At 41.1% G+C, this 21,708-nt stretch overlaps 2 protein-coding genes and 1 long non-coding RNA gene across 11 annotated transcripts in view; 1 reads left to right on the plus strand and 2 right to left on the minus strand.

Annotated features, from left to right (window-relative positions):
- REC114 (REC114 meiotic recombination protein) overlaps positions 1 to 10,147 on the plus strand; it is a 116,850-nt gene extending 106,703 nt beyond the window's left edge. For both annotated transcript variants that reach the window (NM_001042367.2, NM_001348772.2), the window contains 3 exons: positions 1,072 to 1,284; positions 6,436 to 6,525; positions 9,886 to 10,147. In NM_001042367.2, the coding sequence (NP_001035826.1) occupies positions 1,072 to 1,284; positions 6,436 to 6,525; positions 9,886 to 10,050 (468 nt within the window). In that variant the 3' untranslated portion in view covers positions 10,051 to 10,147. The remainder of the gene's footprint in view (positions 1 to 1,071; positions 1,285 to 6,435; positions 6,526 to 9,885) is intronic.
- The window catches only part of NPTN (neuroplastin), a 73,376-nt gene continuing 61,815 nt past the window's right edge, over positions 10,148 to 21,708 (minus strand). For 2 of the 8 annotated variants that reach the window (NM_001161364.2, NM_001161363.2), the window contains 4 exons: positions 20,284 to 20,557; positions 13,370 to 13,379; positions 12,030 to 12,104; positions 10,148 to 11,182 (listed from right to left, as the gene is read on the minus strand). In NM_001161364.2, coding sequence (NP_001154836.1) covers positions 12,044 to 12,104; positions 13,370 to 13,379; positions 20,284 to 20,557 — 345 coding nt within the window. In that variant the 3' untranslated portion in view covers positions 10,148 to 11,182; positions 12,030 to 12,043. Of the gene's footprint in view, positions 11,183 to 12,029; positions 12,105 to 13,369; positions 13,392 to 13,512; positions 13,920 to 19,847; positions 19,941 to 20,283; positions 20,558 to 21,708 lie in introns of those variants that run through there. The other 6 variants (NM_017455.4, NM_012428.4, XR_007064440.1 and 3 more) reach the window with 5 other exon arrangements.
- NPTN-IT1 (NPTN intronic transcript 1) lies at positions 17,072 to 19,677 on the minus strand. The gene has a single exon (NR_103844.1). It is a non-coding gene; the product is annotated as an NPTN intronic transcript 1 (long non-coding RNA).

Raw genomic sequence — 21,708 nt, forward strand, 5'->3', positions numbered from 1 at the left:
TGTAATCTAAATATATGGCTTTACTTGATGGGTTTATTTAAATAGTGTAAATTATGAACAGGAAAATCAAGGACTATTTATTTGCTTATAGGAACTTACAGGATTTTGTTAACTGTAGTTAGGAGTGTTTTCAAGGAAGCAACATGGTATATATATTTCATGAGGGAAAAGGACTGTCACTGTGCTAAGCTTAGCATCTACATTTCTTTACAGAAGAAACTGATGAAAGGTATACAATATATACAGTCCTGTTTCGGGAGGCTTTTATGTAGGTTGACTCCTCTAAACTAGGCAGAGTAGTAGACTAGAAAAAAGGGAAACTATTCTAAAATGGTTTTATGTTATTGTTATAATCTAGATGTTTTTACACTTAGATGTTTTTATACTTGTAATCAAATAAGTTTGATGTAGTTGACAGATTTTTAAAATTTTTTAATTGCATCTGTCCCACATTTGCTAATTTGCCAAGGGATGTGACTCATACAGCAAATTAAAGACAGCCTTTCACTATGCAACTTGTATGGTAGTCTGGCCTCTTTAAGGATAAAGGGTACTACAGATCATTAGCATGAGATCTATTAGCTTTGAGCATCTGCCTGTCACTCTTCCCCAGTATTGTTTAAGCTCACTGCCTTGTTTAACATAGTTATCTACCTGGTTTGGTATTACTCAGTTTAGAAAAGTTTTGAGCAGGACTATGCTTGCTGTATTATTATCCTCACAGATTTTTCACTTAGGGAATTAGAAGCTATGAAATCTTTATTCCAAAGCACGATAAAACACTGATCTGCAATCAGTATAGTGATCTTCCTGTCTTTATGATATGAGCTTTTCCACTGTTGCTGATGTCACTTCCCAGAGGGAAGTGAATTTTAGTATGATGAACAACTCCCAAAAGGGGGAAGAAAATGAATTATTGGCTTTTCTATGCCTGCATCAATAAGTGAAGATGACTGTTCCCTTATCTATACCTCTTCCTCCGCCAAGCAAAGGAAACACTCAGTGGAAGACCCCAAAGTAAATAGTTATATGATGAGGGTCTCTCATGATAACTTTTGATTTGTCAAACAGGACAAGAGTCGCCTGTTTCGAGTACAGTTCAGTGGAGAGTCAAAGGAGCAGGCGCTGGAACACTGCTGCAGTTGTGTTCAGAAGCTGGCACAATACATAACCGTGCAGGTGCCTGATGGAAACATCCAGGAGCTTCAGCTGATTCCTGGCCCACCCAGGGCAACTGAAAGTCAAGGGAAGGATTCTGCAAAGAGTGTCCCACGGCAGCCTGGAGTAAGTAGGCTGATGTGTTGGTTATACAGGAAACATGACAATGCAGTGCACAATGAGTGGCCAAAATGACAGTGGAGTTTGTCAAGTCTGTTAGGTTTGTAGTTTAAAAAACATCTATGTTCGGTGACTTTTTAAAATTGAGGTCGATACTCATTGTAGCTCCCTATTCAGAAATTAGGCAGGGAGGAGTTCCAGCTGCATTCTGGGTGTCACTACAGAACAGTGGTTCTCAAAGTGTGGTCCACGAACCCCTCCCTAGGACTCTTCCAGGGGGCCCACAAGGTCAAAATTATTTTTCTTAATATTTAAAGAAAGAGTATCACTTGCCTTTTTCACTGTGTCAACATTTGAATTGATGACACAAAGGCATCGTAAGGCTGCTGTCATCTCATACAGATCAGGCAGTGGCACCAAACTGTACTAATAGTCATCATGTTCCAATCATTCGCAGTAAGAACAAACTAACGAAATAACCCTGCAGTCTGCAGTACCATGGCTGTCTCAAGGGAACGCACCTGTGTGACATTTGTATTTTGAACTAGCCTCTTTTTTCATAAAATACCATCATTATGTGAGAGAACAACAGACTATGGTAATTCAGATTTGGGTATTTGGCAGACATTTTCTCAAAAATCAGTGAAATGAACTATCACTTCAGGAAAACAACTGATAGTATTTATTGAAAATGATAAAATTTAAGCTTCCAAGTGAAAATTAGAATCTTGAAAAACTTGTATCTGCCACATGAGCTTCACAACTTCCCAACCCGGAAGACTTTTCTAAAGGTGCTATTAATAAATGTGATTTACTTGTTTATAAGTAATTACCTGATGAAATGTGTCAATATTTGAAAGACAGTATATTCAGTGAATCAGTATTGTCCAGATGACCGATGCCTGAATGCCACAAAATTATACGTGGATAAAGAGCTATTCAAAAGTGTAAGATAGGCTAAAAGATTGTAATATAACAGTATAACAAGTTTATTGCCATGGTTTCAGATTCTATATTGCAACTTAACTTTAAGCAACTCACTCGTTGAGTTTTGGTGTTGTATCAAGGAATATCCACAGTTATCTGAACAGGCTATTCTAAAATACCCCTCCCTTCTCCATCTATAATTTGTGTGAGGCCAGATTTTCTTCATGTCTTCAACCAAAGCAGCACATTACAGCAAACTGAATGCAGCAGCAAATATAAGAATCTAGTCACCTTCTACTAAACTAGGTAGTAAAGAGATTTGCAAAAATCATTATTTTGTTTTAGAAAAGTTATTTTCCATAAAATGTTTTCAACATTAACGTAAAGTGGGTTTATTATTTTTAATGAACATTTTTAAATTCCGTGTTAGTTTCTAATATGATAAATACCAGATAAATGTAACTCAGATGAAAGTTCTTTGAAGGCCTCATAAGGGGTCTTGTGATAAAAAAGTTTGAGACTCATGACTATAGAATTTCTCCCAGAAATATGTGTTCTGCATTTCTTTGGCAGTTTCAAATATTATTGGAATAAGCACCTACCTCTGTTCTTGAGATGAGATACTACTTTCAAGCTGGGTTTTGCATTTGCTTTGAGAAGTGATTTTTCCAAACCTGGTTTTCCATTACTTCATCATGTTAGTTTTCCTTAACCAAAACACCTCATTTTTGCTGTTTTGTCACTATGTTTCTTTTTTTTGAGACAGAGTTTCGCTCTTGTTGCCCAGGCTGAAGTGTGCAATGGCACGATCTCGGCTCACTGCAACCTGGCCTCCCAGGTTCAAGCCATTCTCCTGCCTCAGCCTCCCGAGTAGCTGGGATTACAGACATCCACCACCATGCCCAGCTAATTTTTGTATTTTTAATAGAGATGGGGTTTCATTATGTTGGCCAAGCTGGTCTCGAACTCCTGACCTCAGGAGATCCACCCTCCTCGGCCTCCCAAAGTGCTGGGATTACAAGCATGAGCCACCGCACCCAGCTGTCACTAAGTTTCTTGTTACTCATAATTTGTCTAAGGTGAACATAAATTTTCATTATTTATTATACAATCTTTTTCTTTAAGCAGGTGCTGCATGATTTCCTCTTGAATGTATTTAGTTTACCAAACAGATTTTGGTGTTTTCCTTCCCTTCGTTTGATTTTTGTGAAGATGTCTTAATGCTGAAGCTGCTTGCCTCACAAACCCTGGATCTAGTTTCAAACAATAATGCTTCGTCTATATTCAGCTCCTGCTATATTCCTTAAGAATCCCCTCCCTACAAATGGGTTGGTTGTTATAAGGTATTTTATTGCTTATGATCCTTTGCCCTTTAGTTTTTCATGTTTCACTGCCTGTTAGATTCAGATGATAGTATAGTATACCCAGTGTATGGAGTGTAACAAAAAAACCCAAAAGGGTTCCAGATTTTGGGAACTCAGTCTGGAGTTCCTTATAAAGGTAATGAAGTCACATCACGCTAGAACCTCATCAGGCTACACAATTATCTAAGTATTACAAATGCAAATAAATTGAAGTTGTAACATGCAGTAACAAATGCAGGCTGAGTTGTGAGCTACAGCCCCAGATGAAGGCTCCAGCTCTCTGATGTTAAAGACTGGTCCCAAATGTCTAGGTAGGAATACCTGAGAAGTGGTTAGGAAACTTTCATGCCTTTCTTGATTCTATTTTCAGGGACTCTTCTGAACTGTAATTGGGTGATTTGACTAAGATAGCATGATGTTGTGCAAAGACTACAGGCTTTGGTATCAAAATGGATCTAGGTTAGAATCCTGGCCCTATTTCTTAGTAGCTGTGTGATCTCACGGAAGCCAATTAGCCCCATCTGTAAAATGGTGAGATTAAAATGCTGTATAGAAAGTACCCAATACAATGCCTGGCAAATATAATCACAAAATCCATCATTACTATTATTGCCACCAATGTTACCCTTTCAGATGTGCCTTCCCTTGCAAATGAACAAATCAGCATCCTAGTCAATTAGCAAGGATCAGAACCTCCAGAGCCAAGAGAGGGCATGATAAGACAGTGTCTGAAGCTGCAGAGCAGATGATAAGTTAAAGCCATTGGATTAAATTCCACCAGGGTACAGACCTTGTGAGGCACCACCTAGAACATTCTAGTTTTCCTAATGGCAAAACATAAGGTTTGCCCTTAACTCTGTTGTACAAATTTTGGTAGCATGTGCTCTTTCTCAGAATCCGTCTTAAGCGGCACAAGCCATGGCCAAGGTTCTGGTCATTTTGCTGCTCTCTTACATTCAGGTGTGTCATTTTTGTAGTACCTATATATTTTTTAGTATAAAATAGTTATTTCCTTCTTTGCAAATAGAGATAATTCTATTTCAAGTTCTTGAGTCATTTACTGGCTCATATTTTAGTTTTTGCTTTTCCTCAGCCTTGTAATTTTGTTAATTGTGGCTTAACCAGGCATTTCTCAACCTTAGCACTTCAAAGGCAACCAGCCCACCCCAGGGAGGGGGATGGGAAAGACAGTTAAGAGGATCGCAGTTCCTATGTGGACTCTTTCCTGTTAGCACAAAAAGTCCAGAAGAAAGTAGCTAGGGGACTCCAGCTACTGTGTGCACAGACTCTTCCATCTCTATGCTGTTGCAGAGGTGGACCATCTAATCCTAGAGCCCGCTAGCCTCAGGTGCTTCAGTTCCACTTAGCTATTTTTTAGTGTTTATGGCAGACAATTTTGGTTGACATTAGTTCTTTGTGTGAGCTGAAATGATAGGTATTCTAGGAAAGCATCATATGTCATAGCTGAAGAAACACTAGGCACTAGAGGCTGCCTTGTTTTTACAGAGGAGAAAACTGAAGAAACTGAACAGAGAAATGGGGCTTGTCTAAGGACTATTGATTATAGAGTCCTTTGGCCCTTTGGCCATTTTGCTCGTTTTTTGTTTTCTTGTCTTTGTTCTTTCCTTCCTCACTGTACCTCCACCCCTCTTTTTTGTTGTTGTTTGATGCTTCCAGGTCTGGTTTCCTGCTACCTACTGACTAGCAACCATCAGATTCTCTGTAGGACAGAAGACAGAATTTGGCATCTCCTGCCTTCTGGTAGTCAGACTTGTTGCTGAAGGACAGAAGCGCCCTCCAAAGAGTGCCCTGTTTCCTCCCTGTATTGCACCATGAGCTCATACCTAGTGTAGGATCACCACTGCTCGTCTGGAGATTAGCACTGCAGCAACCTCAGGTACCCAAGGCATATTGGGGCCTGCAGACATGTGGCTAGGAAGGAACGGAGGTAGGGCCCTTCATGCCTCCAGACCTCCTGCACCTTGTTCATTCCATTTGCCTGGAAAGCATCCCATGTCCTACCCGAGAACAACTTATTACCATAGATTCTCTCCAGATAGCATGGACCTTAGAGCATCCCTGTACTTCCTGCTTAGCATACAGCCCTCCAGTTTACCCACTTCTCTGTGAACCTCTAGCACTTCCTGAGTTGCAAGATAATTCATGGTTTTACTTGTTAGGTTCTCACTGGGTTGTGGGCTTCCAGAGGGCAGGACTATCTTGTTCTTTGTCGCTCCTATCCCCGTACCACCCCAGTGTCTAGTACGTAGGAGGTATAAACAGTTGTTGAAAGAAGATATCTGTAAGTTTTACTTACAGAAGAACTGATTCTTTCAGAATATCTAAAATGAGATTTAAAAAAATCATTTTATTGAAAACATCAGTTGTCTTAAAATTATAGGAGTTTCCCCCCATTTTGCATTTCTTCAATGAACATGTATTACTTGAGCAATAATTTTTAGAGTGTGACAAATCATCAGAAGCTGGGGTCCGTCCACTGCATGTAGGCTGCCATGGTAACAGCACCGGGCCCACCCTCCAGCACCTGGTCCTGAATCCTAGGCTGGGCCTCTAACAACAGAGGAATGCCCCAGTGTCTGACAGGAAGAAGCACTAACAGCCTGCCAACTGCTGAGGAACATCAAATAGAGGTCAGGAGCCGCAAATTTAAACTCAGTACTTCTGCTGTGGTAACTCAAGTAACCCTCCGTTTAAACCAGGACAGACCTATGCTGACAACCATTTTTATCACTCTTAGTGGTATTTTCTTTCTTTGAACATGAATGCATATTTCTGCTCTTTAATGGCCTTTGGTATTTAAGATTACATTCAGCTAGTCTCCTTATTGCATGTTGTTTTATTCCAGTCCCACCAGCACTCAGAACAACAGCAAGTGTGTGTAACAGCGGGCACAGGCGCTCCAGACGGAAGGACCTCACTGACGCAGTTAGCTCAGGTAGAGCTTATTTCTGTGTTCAATTTTCTTGTCATGAGAAGCAGTGACCCCTAAGAATTTGTATCCCTTTGTTCAATTCTTTGTTTTAGGAGAGAAACTTCTAAAGCATTACTCTAAAAGGTGATAGAGACAGAGACGGGCCATTTTCATCTACCCCTTGCAGAGTTAAGTTTTATTACAGTAAGTTGTGAGGTGAGACATGATGGCTGCAGGCACATAGTCAAGATCTACCCTCCTAAGGAAATAAAACGGGGAAAAGTGGTTGAATGTCCAATATAGAAAATTTAATCACCACTTTCCCAAAAAAGAATAAATGGAGGACTCCATTGTAATTATGGAAATGAAATTTGGGAACTATTTTAAGACAAATATCAAAATGAATGTGGATTCAGATCTACAACAATTTCTATATGGGTAGATTGTTAGTACTCAGCTAAGGATGTGAAACCCAGGAGGATTCAGCTGTTAACTCAGACTTGCTTTCAGACAGCCCCTTGCCCCCTGCTGCAAAACCTCTTCATTCAAAACTATGGTTGTGTGACGTCCACTCTCCTGGGAGCTCTGCAAGGACTTTGTCTCCCCCTCACTGCATTCCTCATTGCAGGTGTTCAAGCCAGCAGCTTCTGCTTGCCACAGAATTCTGTGTGAAGTTCATCAATCTTCAAGTATGATTTTTTTTTTTTTTTTTGAGGCAGGGTCTCACCATGCCTCAGCACCCAGCAGGCTGGAGTGCAGTGGTGCGATCTTGGCTCACTGCAACCTCTGTCTCCTGGGTTCAAGTGATTTTCCTGCCTTAGCCTCCTGAGTAGCTGGGATTACAGGCGTGTGCCACCACGCCCAGCTAATTTTTGTATTTTTAGTAGAGTCAGGATTTCACTGTGTTGGCCAGGCTGGTCTTGAACCCCAGACCTCAAGTGATTCCCCCACCTTGGGCTCCCAAATTGCTAGGATTACAGGTGTTAGCCACTATGCCCGGCCACATTTTCTTTTAATCCCTCCACTAAACTGTACTATCAGTAGTTTAAAAAAAAAAAAAAAAAAAGAAAAAAAGGGTTTTCTCCATCTGGCTTGCCACTAACTCAAAATAAATGGACAATCATATAGAATAAAAAACTCAAGAGGTAGGAAGACTAAGAATTCATGTTTATTTCTTTTAATAAACCCCTAACTATGAAAAAAATTATTTGTCCAGCAGCAGGACTAATGCCCATATTTGCATTGGGGTTAGGGGCTAACTGAATCAGAGAAGCTGAGGAAAACAGAGCTGCAATAAAACAATAAGCAAGGCAGGGTGTGATGTCCTTATTTAGGAAATATCAATTGCTAGAAAAGGCATACCTTTGCCCAGTTTATTTACGTAGTATGGAAGAACCATATACAAATGAGAAAAAGCATGAAGCTTGGAGCTCAGATACATTACTTACTTGCTCTTATCTTTTGGACATGTCATTCTATGTAAGTTGGTAAAACCTTTTGGAAGGCAATTTAGCAGTACATATCAAATTTAATATTATGTTAGCTATAATTTCATTTCAACTACACAAATATACATATGTTCATCACAATGCTTAAGAAATTGGAAACAACATAAATGTTCATTTAATAGGATATTAAGTGAGGTATAACCACAGATGGGATAGAAATGCAATTAATACAAGGGATGTAGGCTGCACATGGTGGCTCACACCTGTAGTCCCAAGCACTTTGGGGGGCTGAGGCAGGAGGATCATTTAAGGCCAGGAGTTCAAGACTAGCCTGGCCTAACATCATATTGAGACCCCCATCTCTAAAAATAAACAAAACAAGTGCTGTATATCCCAAGTAAGTTTCTGTTACAGAGAGTTCCTGGAGAAATACCAGTTATGTACTTACACACTAAAACATGCTATCCACGTAAAGAATAAAACCACCTACCTCACAGAATTAATGTGAGGAGTCAATAAGATGACCAAGTCAATGCACCAAAGTAAGTGGACCACACAGAACTGGAGCCCATCATCGTCATGTGGGACTGTGGATCCGGTGTTGCCAGATCTTCCAAATTGTCAAGATTTTTATTTGAACTCTCCTAATATTTAAACGTTGACAACTTATTCAACTGGTTTTAAAACACTGCAGGTTACCAAAGAAAACATACAGATGACAAATAAGCATGTGAAAAGATGCTCAACATTATTAGTCATTAGGCAAATGCAAATTAAGACCACGATGAGACATCCTGCAAACTTATTAGAATGCCTAAATTAAAAACAAAAAGAAAAACTGACAATACCAAACCCTGGATGGGTGAGCAACTACAACTCTCATCTACACTGCTAGTGGAATGTAAATGGGACAGCCACTATAGATGACAGTTTGGCAGTTTCTTACAAAGTTAAATATACACTCACCACATGACTCAATCCTAGGTATTTACTGAAGTGAAATGAAAACCTGTGTTCACACAAAAACCTGTAAGGGAATGTTTATAGCATCTTTATTCATAATTGCAAAAAAATAAAACCCAAATGTCCTTCAACTGGAGCACAGATAACCAAACTGTGGCACATCCATGCAATGTAATACTTATTCAGCAATAAAAATGAATTACTGCTATACTCAACATCATGGATTAATCCCAAATGTATTCATTATGCTAAGTGTAAGAAGCCAGATTCAACAACGTATTATGATTTCATTTATATGACATTCTGGAAAAGGCAAAACTATATGGAGAAGAGATCAGTAGTTATTAAGGGTTAAGGGTTTGACGGTAATGGTTAGCACAAGGGTCACATAAAGGAATTTTTTTGGGAAGTGAAAGAAATGTTCTGTATTTTGATTGTGGTGACAGTTACACGACTATTTGTCAAAACTCACAGATGGCCAGAAAAAGATGCGTGTGAACTAATGTCCTTTGGGAGTCTGTGGCCTCTTTCTTACATTCAGAATGCAGCTAGCACATAGTAGGCTGCTCACATCCACTCTGCCACCTATGCTGTGGCGAAGATGAACTGAGCTAGTGGAGCTCATTCATTGATAGCATTGATAGGTTTGTTTTCAATCCACAGGTTATCAGCACAGTATTCTTCATTAAAGTAGAATCTCAACTTTGCAAACATTTCATCAGTACATTTGAAATTCTTTCCTTAGGGCAACAAGATTATCTCACATGCTATGTGTATTCAGAATACATATTAATATACAAAATTGTAAATGTAACAGTAAAACTATGTAAAGGAAGCCTGTAAAGCTAATTAACACTAATTTTTTTGGTGTGTATTTCGCTAATCTTTCCTTAAAGCACTATTTGCCTGTGTTCTATTAGCCAGGTATTGCTTTTACCTGTAATCTGTAACGACTTTTCTGGTATCCCTGCAGACTCTTCTGGCATCGGAGGAGCTGCCCCATGTCTATGAACAATCTGCATGGGGTGCAGAAGAGTTAGGCCCCTTCCTACGTTTGTGCCTTATGGATCAGAATTTCCCAGCATTTGTGGAAGAGGTAGAAAAGGAACTGAAAAAGCTGGCGGGTTTGAGAAATTAATGCTCTATATACATATATAACTAAGGAACTTCAAAGTATTGAAAAATGCTTCCTCCTAAAATTAAAGAAGATATTAGAATAAAGAGTATTATCCAAACACCTTTTATCAATGTTTTATTTTTAAAAACAGGTGAATCCACTTTTTTATACATCATTGCACTTCAATAATTACACAAAACACACAAGTACATGCATCTACAATTACGCACCGCATGAGAACCGTTAGGTTATAAAATCTATCATCAACCAGTAAATCAATGTGAAAAAATACAGTGTCAAACCAAAAAGTATAACTATAGTTGCATAGAATATTACCATGCTATAACATTTCAAGGTCATTGGAAACAAAAGAAAAATTATAAAAGTTTGCCTTGATTGAATGAATGTACAAGAATAAGGTTCAACACATCAGTGCAAAAGGATTTATGAATTTACATGACTTAACAGAAGAAAAGATAATCACTTAAAAAGCAATCATACGTATATACTGCAATTCATTATACCCATTCAGTGGACTGTTCCAGCTTATTAAAGTCACAGGTTAAGCCCTTAAAATTATAGATTTCAGTTTATATTACTCATCTTTATGTACCAGAACTGCACAATTTCCTCATCTGACAACATACAATAAGGAATGAATATCAGCAGCTTAAAAATGAAACAAGCATTTACTTTATTTTGGATTTCTCCCACCCCCAAAAATATAAATATATATATATATATATTTATATACTGTATATATCTGTAGGTTTTGCTGTACTTTACAAAAGTGTATCACTAGATGGCAGCAGTGCATTTTAGAGCTTTGCCAATTTAACAGCTGCATTAAGTAAAAAATGGCGCATGCATGATCTGATCCTCAGAGGACCTTTTCACTTCTATTTAAATATTTTAACAAAGGAAAAAAAAAAGCAACATTCACAGCACATCAAGCCCAAAATAGTTTACACCTTCTACACTGAAGCATTGTTTAAAATGTACCTGGCTAGATCACCCTTACAGGAGAGGCTAAATAAGGCATGCTTTAGACAGTCATTGTGGTGTTGCTCACTTGAAAGGGGAGAGAACCAAAGAGGTCCAAGCAGAAAATTTTAGCAGGTCATGTTGCCACCAGTTTCAGGAACCTAAAGATCTGTAAAGAAATATGTATTTGGAAATTATAAAGGGATTATGCACTGTCACTCACAACTACACCGTGTGCCACACAAAACTTTGGTTCAAACAGCACGCTCAGGGATGTGGTGTGAAATTCTGATCTCCATATGCCTAACAAGATGACATTCTGGCCCTGCTGCTACCTGGCCATTCTTGTCTTGCCCCCAGACGTGAGGTAAGACTAGTAGGCCTCTGGGAATAAGCCACCTAAGAAGGTGACAATTTTCACCTCTTTGTAAAGATATAATAGTAGTGAAAAGTGTTGATTTTAAAATATGTCTTCTGAAATGGCATTTATATAAACATGTGACACAATGCACCTGATGGCGGGGCACACTGGCTCATGCCTGTAATCCCAGCACTTCTGGGAGGCTGAGGCAGGCGGATCACTTGAGGTCAGGAGTTCAAGACCACCCTGGCCAACATGATGAAACCCCGTCTCTACTAAAAATACAAAATTTAGCTGGGCATGGTGGTGGGCAGCTGTAATCCCAGCTACTTAGGAGGCTGGGGCAGGAGAATTGCTTGAACCCGGGAGGCGGAGGTTGCAGTGAGCCGAGATCACACCACTGCACTCCAGCTTGGGCAATAGAGTGAGACTCCATCTTAAAAAATCCAAACAACAACAAAAAACAACGCAGCTGAAAAATGTTCCTTTCCAGTCCCTAAACTGGGCAGACAGAACTGGCTTCATCAGTATCAGCTGCTCTGAAATGAACTAAAATATCTTATAACACCAATTACTGAAGAATTTGTAACAAGGTCAATAGAGGCACATTCATTTGAATATAATTTTTAAGACTGCTACAGAAGGCCATACTTACATTGTAAGCAGTACTTAATTTGTGTTTCTCTGGCGCAAGTTTTTATCTTTGTGATTGTTGGTAGAGTTGGTTTTCCTTTGGAGGAAAAATTGCATTACATGAGTTAAACTCAGTCAATAACTTTTCAAAGTATAACACATGGAAATACAGGGACTCTTTCACTTACTGCCATCCCTGGTGTAGTGAGAAATTTTGTGGCACAATATGAGTGCATAAAAAAACATTCCTTAAGTAGCTACAGGTTAAGTATCCCTCATCTGAAATGCTTGGGATCAGAAATGTTTCAGATTTTGAATTTTTTTAGATTTTGGAATATCTGCATTATACTTACCAGTTCAGCATCCCTAATCTGAAAATCCAAAATTCAAAATGCTCCAATGAGCATTTCCTTTGAGCCTCATGTGAGCACACAAAAAAAACTTCAGATTTTGGAGCATTTCAGATTATGGATTTTGGTAGTAGGTAGACTCAACCTGTATATACCTCATTTTATCCTCCTTTTGACCCCCAAGGCAGACGAGTACTTTCCCTTCGAATCCGGAACTATAATTACGATACAGGTGAGAATATGTAAAACTTTTCTCCACTGAACACAACACCACTGTCCCTTCTTGATAAAAGGTAATCATAAGCTGGCAGTGCTGGGCCCTCTGGTACTTAACAAATTTGGGTGCTGTTTGTCTGCTTCTCACTCTTTAGTCCAACTCTAGGAGATTCTGCCGATCTTAGATTGATTCCATACCTGCAGTACCCTCTCTCTTGGATACGAGCAATTGTTAATGGGGCTAGACAGTTTATCCAGGCTATAGTTCAGCCTCAAATTGCATTACATGAGTTAAACTCGGTCAGTAACAACTTTTGAAAGTATAACACATGGAAATACAGGGACCCTTTTACTACCATCCCTGGTGTAGTGAGAAATTTTGTGGCACAATATGAGTGCATAAAAAAACATTCCTTAAGTAGCTACAGGTTGAGTATTCCTCATCTGAAATGCTTGGGATCAGAAACGTTTTAACATTGACAAAACCGGGAGCCTCAGATATACTGGCCATTTCCCCCACATTTTAAGTATATCAAATACACAAAATTTGAAAAAAAAAAAAGTTTTTTGCATGGTATTCCACTTTGTATGGCCACTGGAAAACAAGACTGCATAACCTATCCTGAGAATCAAGTGGTTTTTAGTCAGATCTGTGTCAAGCTAAGAAATCTACACTGCAACCTTCATTTCCACTCACTGTCTTCCCCTCCAATCTTAGCTACTCCATTTGATTAAACTGCAAACACAACATCATTCAATCAGATACTGTTGAATCAATGTCCAATAAAGTACTTACATTGGTCCAGCTGGTTCATCATCTACATGGTGTTCAGTTTTTTAAAAATCCATGAGAGATAAGAGAAGAAAGGAGAAAACTGTTAGATTCTGCATAAGGATTAACAGAATAGCAAACTGCAAGTGGCAATCATGGCTACTCACAGCATTTATTAAAGGCCATTCCATCTGGAGGTGCAAAACACTCATGGAGTTATTATTTCTAGATTCAAGTTTAAATGGCAGGTATGTTGTTTCAATGGTTTTAGTTAACACTTTGAATGCTTGTCATGAAAAACTGCAACTGTAGCGGACAGATAGGCTGCAACATTGTTATACTCATCTTGTCCCCAAGTTCCAGTGGTTCACTCTTAAATAGATGAGAAGACAAACCAACATTTCAGTTGTAAAATCCTGCTGTTTGTTTTCTTGTGGTGAATGCATGCAGTTTTGGCTCAATCCTGCAATGTGAATGGATGTGTACCATCTGTACATTTAGCCACACATCCTCACTTCCCCAAAGGGCACTCTGTTTTTCTTGCTGTTTTGTAATCTTTAGAAGAGTCTTTAGTCTGGAGAATGAGATTGAGAAGAGGCAATCACAATAGTTCAACCTAAATTGGGTCAGCCATGCTGGGCTATGCCAGCAACAAGTGTATGTATACCAGAGGATGTTCTGTGACACACCGAGGAAAGCTGAACAGTGGTGACATCCCTCTAGAAAAGACTTCAGAAAGACAGGCTCACTCCTGTGCCCTGGCCAAAACCAGAAGCCAAACCCAGGGGAGCCATGAGATAACTTTTTTAAAATCAAAAAGCTGACATTATATGAGTTTAAGCCTTCTTAAATTGATACTTTATGATTCTGATTTATAAGTCTTTCGTGTTTCAACTAAGTGCAACTTGATCCCCTTTAAGCAGAGATACACATTCACAGAGAGAGAATGTTTTAAAAAGACCCACAAGGGGAAGGGAACAAGTAAGTGCTCTTAGTTTGTTTTTATTATACAAAAGTCAGGTAAACTAAATGATTCAGAACAGTTTGATTTCACTGAAGGCTTCTAGAAAAATTCTCAGCAGGATTCCACAAGGGGGCTTGGTGCACATGAAGCAGTTATGGAGATTACAGTCTCAGTGTAGGCATCTGCAGGAGCACATGTCGGGAGTAATGTCTGTCAGAGGGAGACATTGCTCCACCTGTTCCTTCGAGGCAACGGAGAGGCAAAGCCACCGCCAGCACACACAGTGACTGGAGCAAAAAAGGATTTCAAAAAAAAGAACTAACCACAAACCAATGACTCATCAGCCAAAACAATAGGCTAGCGACACACTAGTGTCCACAGGAGTCCACTACTAACAACAGTATACACTATCAAACGGGTACAGAGAACAAACTAAGACTTAAGGACACCCAAGACATCTGTGTGCTGTGTATGCAGTGGAGAGATACAAAGACATACCAGGTACTAAGACACAAAAGCCCAGCCTAAATTCTCCCCTCACAACATCCTAATGCTCAGCATCCCGGCCAAGCCAGCTCAGCTACATGCTAGGAACTAAGCACTTTGGGGATTTAAATGAAAAGACATAGGAGCAAACTTGGAATACTTTTAGTGCTCTGGCTGTGCACTCGAAAATACAAAATTCTAATGCAAGAGAGCCGAATCAAGAATACACCAATCTACTCCCAAATTTAAAATAAAAAGCAGGGGAGGGAGAATCGCAATAGCCAGGCTAATCTTTTCAAAGCATGACACTGTAGGCACCAACCCAAGCACCTCACACCACGGGCTGTTTTTCCTTTTGGAGTGTGGGTATTCCCTGGTGTCTGATTAGTAATGTCACTTTCCAGCCCAACAAGCTGGTAACATGCAAAGGGTTGCATGGAGGTGTTTTAGCGACAGTGCCTCCGGCATAGCTGCCATGCCTGCAAGTGGGAGCAGTTGAGATTCACAAGGGGGCAAAATCCCAGGAGCCCTCTTCATCTGTCTCCCCAAATCCACTTTCACACTGACAAACAAAAGAGCCTCATGTCTCCCCACTCTCCTGGACTGAATCACTATCTGCAGCACCACTCTCCCCTACAGGTCAGACAAAAAAACGACTTGACCCCTAACAGGGAAGTCAGGGGAGAGGGAAAGAACAGAATTACAGAAAAAAGATACAGAAACCAAAGTAAATGAGGATTAAACAGCAAACTGAAATCCAAATTAGTTGTGAAAGTGAATGAAGTAAACTTGAAGAAAAGTGTTAACATTATGAACTGTGCATCGTATAGACTGAAGCGGAGATTAAACAAACTCCAAAAGCATGCATATCGCTCACTTACCACCATGTTTTAAGGGTTTGATGCAATTGAGGGGGGAAAAAAAAGAAGTCATAGTAACCGACAAATATCAACATACCCCAAACCCTCAGGCCAAAAGATAGCCAGCTTAAACAATGACTGTTCTCTCCACCTCAGTATTACAGCCACTGGCTAGATGAGAGGAAGAGGACTGGGGGGATAATGGAAACAAGATGCTTCTGGAATCCACCTTATGAGAGTGAAGTTACCGGTGGAACTGTAGCACACACTGATTTATCTGCGTGTTCCATCTTCCCAACCGAATGGACCACAGCCCTCACTCCCCCTATATCCGCCTCATCATCTAGAAGGGGTGCTCTGCAATGTCTAGTAAATAACGGATTGCCTAATACAATATCACCTCCAAAAAGATGGCTTTAAAGTCCGAATAATGAAGAGTTGACTCTCTGGTCAAAGGTCCTTTGTCACTGCATTCATCTCACTAGAAGGTTTTATGGTTTCTAAATCCACTTAAATTTTGCCTGACCTTAGCAGGTTAGCATTAAACCCAAGAGAGACTGAGTTACTTCCTATTTCCTTCCTTGTTTGGTCCTATTGCATTTTCTCCATGAGGTAACTTGTTATTGACCCAGATGGCCCCTAGTTAACAGACCAGACACCGAATGCATGTTTTAGGTGTCATTTTAAAAGTCACATTTCTTTTCCAATATCCCTAGTCTGTATAAAGCTTCATATGCTACCAAATGTTTTGACCAACGAATAGATTTTGGAACATTAGAACAGCTCTTCATTCTAAAGTGTCTAAAAGAGCTTGGATATATCAGAGCCACTAAAAATGGCCCCCCAAAAAACCTCAAATATCTTCTCCATCAGTAACTTAAAGAGAGTCCCTTTGACTTGCTTATAAAAAATTATCCCAAGGTAAAAACAGAAAGTTCTTTTTTGGTACCAGCACTTCTTTTCTTAAATCAGCTCCTGTTTTAATTTGCTGTCTGTGAGGTCACTAAAATATCCAGAAGAACTGCAGGCCTCAGCAACTAAGTGGGTTCACTCCCCATTCCTCCAGGGCCTGGGGAGGGGAGACTCAGGAGCACAGGCTGACTGCTCCTGGAGTGCAGTCCGCAGGACACCAACACAGAAGGTGCACCCAAGCAGGTGCCCAGCTGTGACATGGATGGAAGCCTAGAGGCTGCTAGCTTGACCTGGTCTTTTTAGAGAACTATCATTTAACATTTTCAGGGAATACAGTCAAGTGGTGAGTCAAGTGAACAAAACAAAGCTCTTATTTGACTCCATGATTCACTTGTTCCTGAAAATACTGAAGGTAAAGGTGATCTGTAGATTAGTCCACCTACAAGACAACCTAGTGGGCACTGATCCTCAAAGAGACCATACAGGGGACTAAAGGAATGCAGGTGGGTGTTTTCATGTAGGAAATGGTCTGAGAATACTCCAGTAGGTAAAGAAAAAAGACATGGGGCTTTTTTTTTTTTTTTTTTTTTAAAGGAAGCAGCTAAACCTCAATCCTAAGCATTTTCAATGTGAGAAATCTAAATATTTGATTTTCTAGTGAAACATACTTAAACTAAACTATGTAAGTTCAAATTTGTGCTTTTATACTTTTGTATTGTTCACTTAGTGCTTTTGTAGTAAGGGGATGAGTTACCAAGAACTCACAGACTGCCCAAAATATGACGACTGTGCATTCATATAAAAAAAGTTCAGTGAGTCTGAAATGAGCCATGGGTGTATCTTGATAATAAAGTGCTATTTGGCAAAGTAGAAGTATGGCAGGCCTATAAAAAAATTCCCATTTTCCTAATGGTATAAAAAAAATCCAACACAGAGCCACAGATGGTTATCTGATAGGTAAACACTTATGACCTCTTAACACTCCCAAGTTTGTGTCAAATATAATGTACCTCTTCGTTTATTCCAAAAGGAGTGTACGTATATATCTATATGAAAATTTGGGGAGAAGCACATGGGAAGGAAGCAGACAGGTAAGTTTGTCCTTCCTATGGAGTGCACAGGGGTTGAGGGGAACTGGCTAAAGAAGGAAAAGGCAGAGAAGAAGGAAACTCACCAAAGAACATTCAACTTTTTCTTTTGTTTAATGATTACTTCCAGGAAAGGAGAAGAAAAGCGGGCAGGGGTGGAAGCAGGATGGAGTTTGAGAGAAAGACAGAAAGAGACAGAGGAGAAAAACAGAATGGAAATACTGGAGCAAGGGCAGGGTGTGAAGATGGAGAGTGGAGCCTGGCCCACACTGGCTGTCAGGAAGGGAAGGAGAGAAGGCAAACATTGCCATCATTCCAGCATCTCAGATTTTTCACCCCAATGCAACAACAACGAAGTAAACGCTGCTTTCATTACAATACTCTCCCAAGAGACTAGAGCAAGGAGGTTTTACTTTGCACTTACCCTGCCGTCATCTCTTTTAAGGGTAGGATTCATTCACTGTCTATAATAACTTAGTTTAAAAGAGGTACTTTCCCTCTAGGAAGCTGTTCAGATTTGCTGGCCACAGATGTCTCCTATAACAAACTGGTCCCCCATTTGATTTCAGTAACCAAGAAAACTCTTACAAAAAAAGAGCTGCTTCCCTGGGCAGGTGTCTGCACTTATCCAACAGAACAATCCTAACCATTTCTCAAATCTAACCTACCACATGCACTGTGATAGCAACCTCATAAGCGCGGTGACTTCTTAGGGCAAAGACTAGACCTCTGCTGGGAACACGCTAGGCTGCTGCATCACTCTCACCAGTGGCAGCCAGCCTTGCCTTAAAATTTAAAAATCAGGTTCTGAAGTCCATCTCTGCCTTCTCTTACCTGACTTTTTAGCTTCTCAACCTTTCCAAAAGGCAGGCTGAGGAAGGTGGTATTGGCAAAGCAAAAGCATTCTGGGGGGATAAAAAGGCCCTTTTCAGGAATGAGGCATAACTGATCCCACAGAGCCAAAGCTGAAAACACACGAAAGACAGGCAACTCTTTCCCTTTACTCCCAGGTCTAAATAAAGGTGCACTCTTGCCTTGGGAGTCCTAATATGTAGCAGGAAAGAAATACCTGGAGAGAAAAAGCATTAGGAGTACATGAAATCCCAAAGAAAGCAGGTTCACTTCATAAAGTAGGAAAGTAAAACTCATGGGGACACTCCCAGGTTGCAGGAAACTAGAGATTCATTTGCAGAGGCCGTCTGCTCCCAGCCAACGTCCTTCCCACGCCTCTGCCCAGCTCACTGCTGAGTGCACATCTGGAGGGAGTCACCAGATATTGTCAGTGTCATCAACAAACCTCCTCACCAGCCACTCACTCTACTTACTGCAGGCAGAGAGATTTATAACTGCTGAGAAGAAAGGAAAAGATGGGGAAGGGGCTGTTGCTCTCAAACATGTCCTCCCAGAGAGTCTAAAGCCACTGGCATGCCTCTGGGGCCACATTCTTTCTGAGGGAGCACCAGATGTCACTTTGTATTCTCCACTGGACAGCCAGCTCTGTGGGGCAGGATACAGCACCACAGGTGCACAAACACAGGCCCCAGAACAGCTGGACTACAGCTGGCAACCCCACCATCACCCCGGGTAGGCTACCACTGAGCCCAGGGGCACACCCATCTGTCTAGTCTAGCCAGGGACAGACTAGTGGTGGTAACAGTCGGCCAATTAATTTCTGTACGCCGGTCATGTTATAGGGTGGGGATGGGGAGCCAGCTGGGAACCTGAAGTACTGCAGATACAAGTCTCCATCAGCAGCTTCCCCCTTCACAGGAAAAATCGATCACCAAAAATTTCCCAAGGCTTTTCTGACTCTAGGCATATCCAATAACCTAAGATTTCAGCTCTTGCTCTTTCCAGTGCTCAGTGGTGTGCTGTGGTTCTGCTGCTACCATCTCCTCCCTTCTCTGACCCTAGGCCAGCTTGAGGGCACAGCCTCGGGGCATGGACTCCATTTGTTCCGCCTTTGCTATCTCTGTCTTACACTAGATGGGTGGATACATCAGACTCTCCTTTGTCTGTGAGACACAGATGGAAAGCCACCCAGCAGAGAGCGCTGGAAACCTATCAAAGGGACCAACCAAGGAACCAAAAGCTGGCTTGTTCCAATGGCTTTTCTGAGAACAGTCTGACTGGGCTGGGGCAGTTACCTACAGGGGCTACACCAGGCAACCATGTGACAACCAGTTAGATACCTTAAATCTGCCTGAAAGGCCAGGTGGCCTGCCATCTTGGGGTGGCTTCTAGGCTTGACTTGGATTCTCCTCAAGCTCAATCTGCCTGATGATCTGTATTGAAGGAGGACAGAGCTGAACAAAGAGACTGACAGCTGCCCATTCACCACATGGGGCCTGAAAGGCAGATGGGACTAGGGTTTGGAAAACACCCAAACAGAGGGAGAGAGCTAAGGACAGCTCTAGATGGCTAATGCAAAAAAAATAAAAATAAAATAAAAATAAAAAATAAAAATAAAAAACTCTTACGGGTAGGGGGTTAGGAACTGGTATAAGAATTTTCCTTCTTTCCTTTAGGGATTGAATCCCAACATCCCTATAGTCCTCTTTGGGTACTTGGAAACCACCCGAAGGAACCAACCCCAGCAGTACAGCTATTTTGTAGGGATGCTCTTACCGTCAGGAACCTCATCTGGCCTCTTCCTCTTCTCATACACAACAATGATCACCACAAGGATGATAATTTCAGCCAGAATTCCCAAGAAAGGCCAGAGTGGGGCCAGGTGGCTCCGCACCCTGAGGACAGTGACAACAGAGGCGGAGCCAATGGCGTTGGTGGCATTACATTCATACTCGCCAGGGTCTTCCGTGATCTGCAGGTTCACAATGTTCAACTCAGTGTAATTTTCCTTGTTGATGATGAAGAAGCGGCCAGAGGTATTGACAATGTCCTGCAAAAAAGTGAGAATACACAAAGGTGAGAGTGAGTAACTGAGCTAATGTTCAAGAGAGGGTGACACTGCTCTCCGTTCTTTTTAGGCACCAGCCAGAATGAGGAAGCAGTGTCTAGGAACATTTCATTAATGATTTCCCTTCAGTATCAACAACAACAAATCAACTTCTGACAGAGCCAGGCAAGCCTCCCTTACCATCGGTCCTCCAGACTTCCCCGACTTCCACGAAGTGAGTGCAGGTCCTACTGCCTGGAGACTCAGAAAAGTCCAACAACCTAGTAAATGCTGCCTCCAACACCAGGTAAGAAACCACAGCAGAAAGAGGACGGCAGAAGGAGGGGTACAACCCCTACAGTCAGGCATGCCTCGGGGACCTCAGGCCTCTCTGATGACCTCAGAGTCAGCACACTGACTTCACACTTGGTGAGTTCTGAGGAAGTCTCCTTAAACTTCCTCCACAAACAATGCTAAGAACTCACTCCTAGTCAGACTGGGGGAAATTCATAACTTTCCTTTCATTTAAGGACTAGAGGTTAGAGGAAAGGTTATTCAATCAATCAACAAATATTTGTGGCTGGGCACAGAGGCTCATGCCTGTAATCTCAGCACTTTAGGAAGCTAAGGTGGGAGGATCGCTTGAGCCCAGGAGTTCAAGACTGGCCTTGGCAACAAACTGAGACCCCATCTCTACAAAAAATCAAAAATAAAATTAGCTGAGCATAGTGGTGTACACCTGTGGTCCCAGCTACACAGAAGGCTGAGGCAGGAGGATCACATGAGCCCAGGAGGTTGCTGCACTCCAGCCTGGTAGACAGATCAAGACCCTGTCTTAACACAAAACAAAACAAACAAATAAAAGAGAACAAATATTTACTAAAATATGCTGCATGCTTTATATCCTACTAAGGGCAGGTGGGAGTGAGAAGGTGAGATAGGGAGAAGACAGACCTAGAAATGAATAAGGAGCTTGGCCTCAAAAGGGAACCAGACATCCAAAAAGGGATGACTGATTTCAGGAATGTGTTAAGAAGCCCCAACAGAGCGTGTGTATAGAGTGCTGTAGGGCACAGTGAGTGGCCACTGCTGGAAAGAGTCAGGGAAAGCTTCACACATGAGCTAACATTTGCACTAGACTGTGGAGGAGGACA

The sequence above is a fragment of the Homo sapiens genome, chromosome 15 (genome assembly GCF_000001405.40).
Source record: "Homo sapiens chromosome 15, GRCh38.p14 Primary Assembly".
In the NCBI taxonomy this organism is placed as follows: Eukaryota; Metazoa; Chordata; class Mammalia; order Primates; family Hominidae; genus Homo; species Homo sapiens.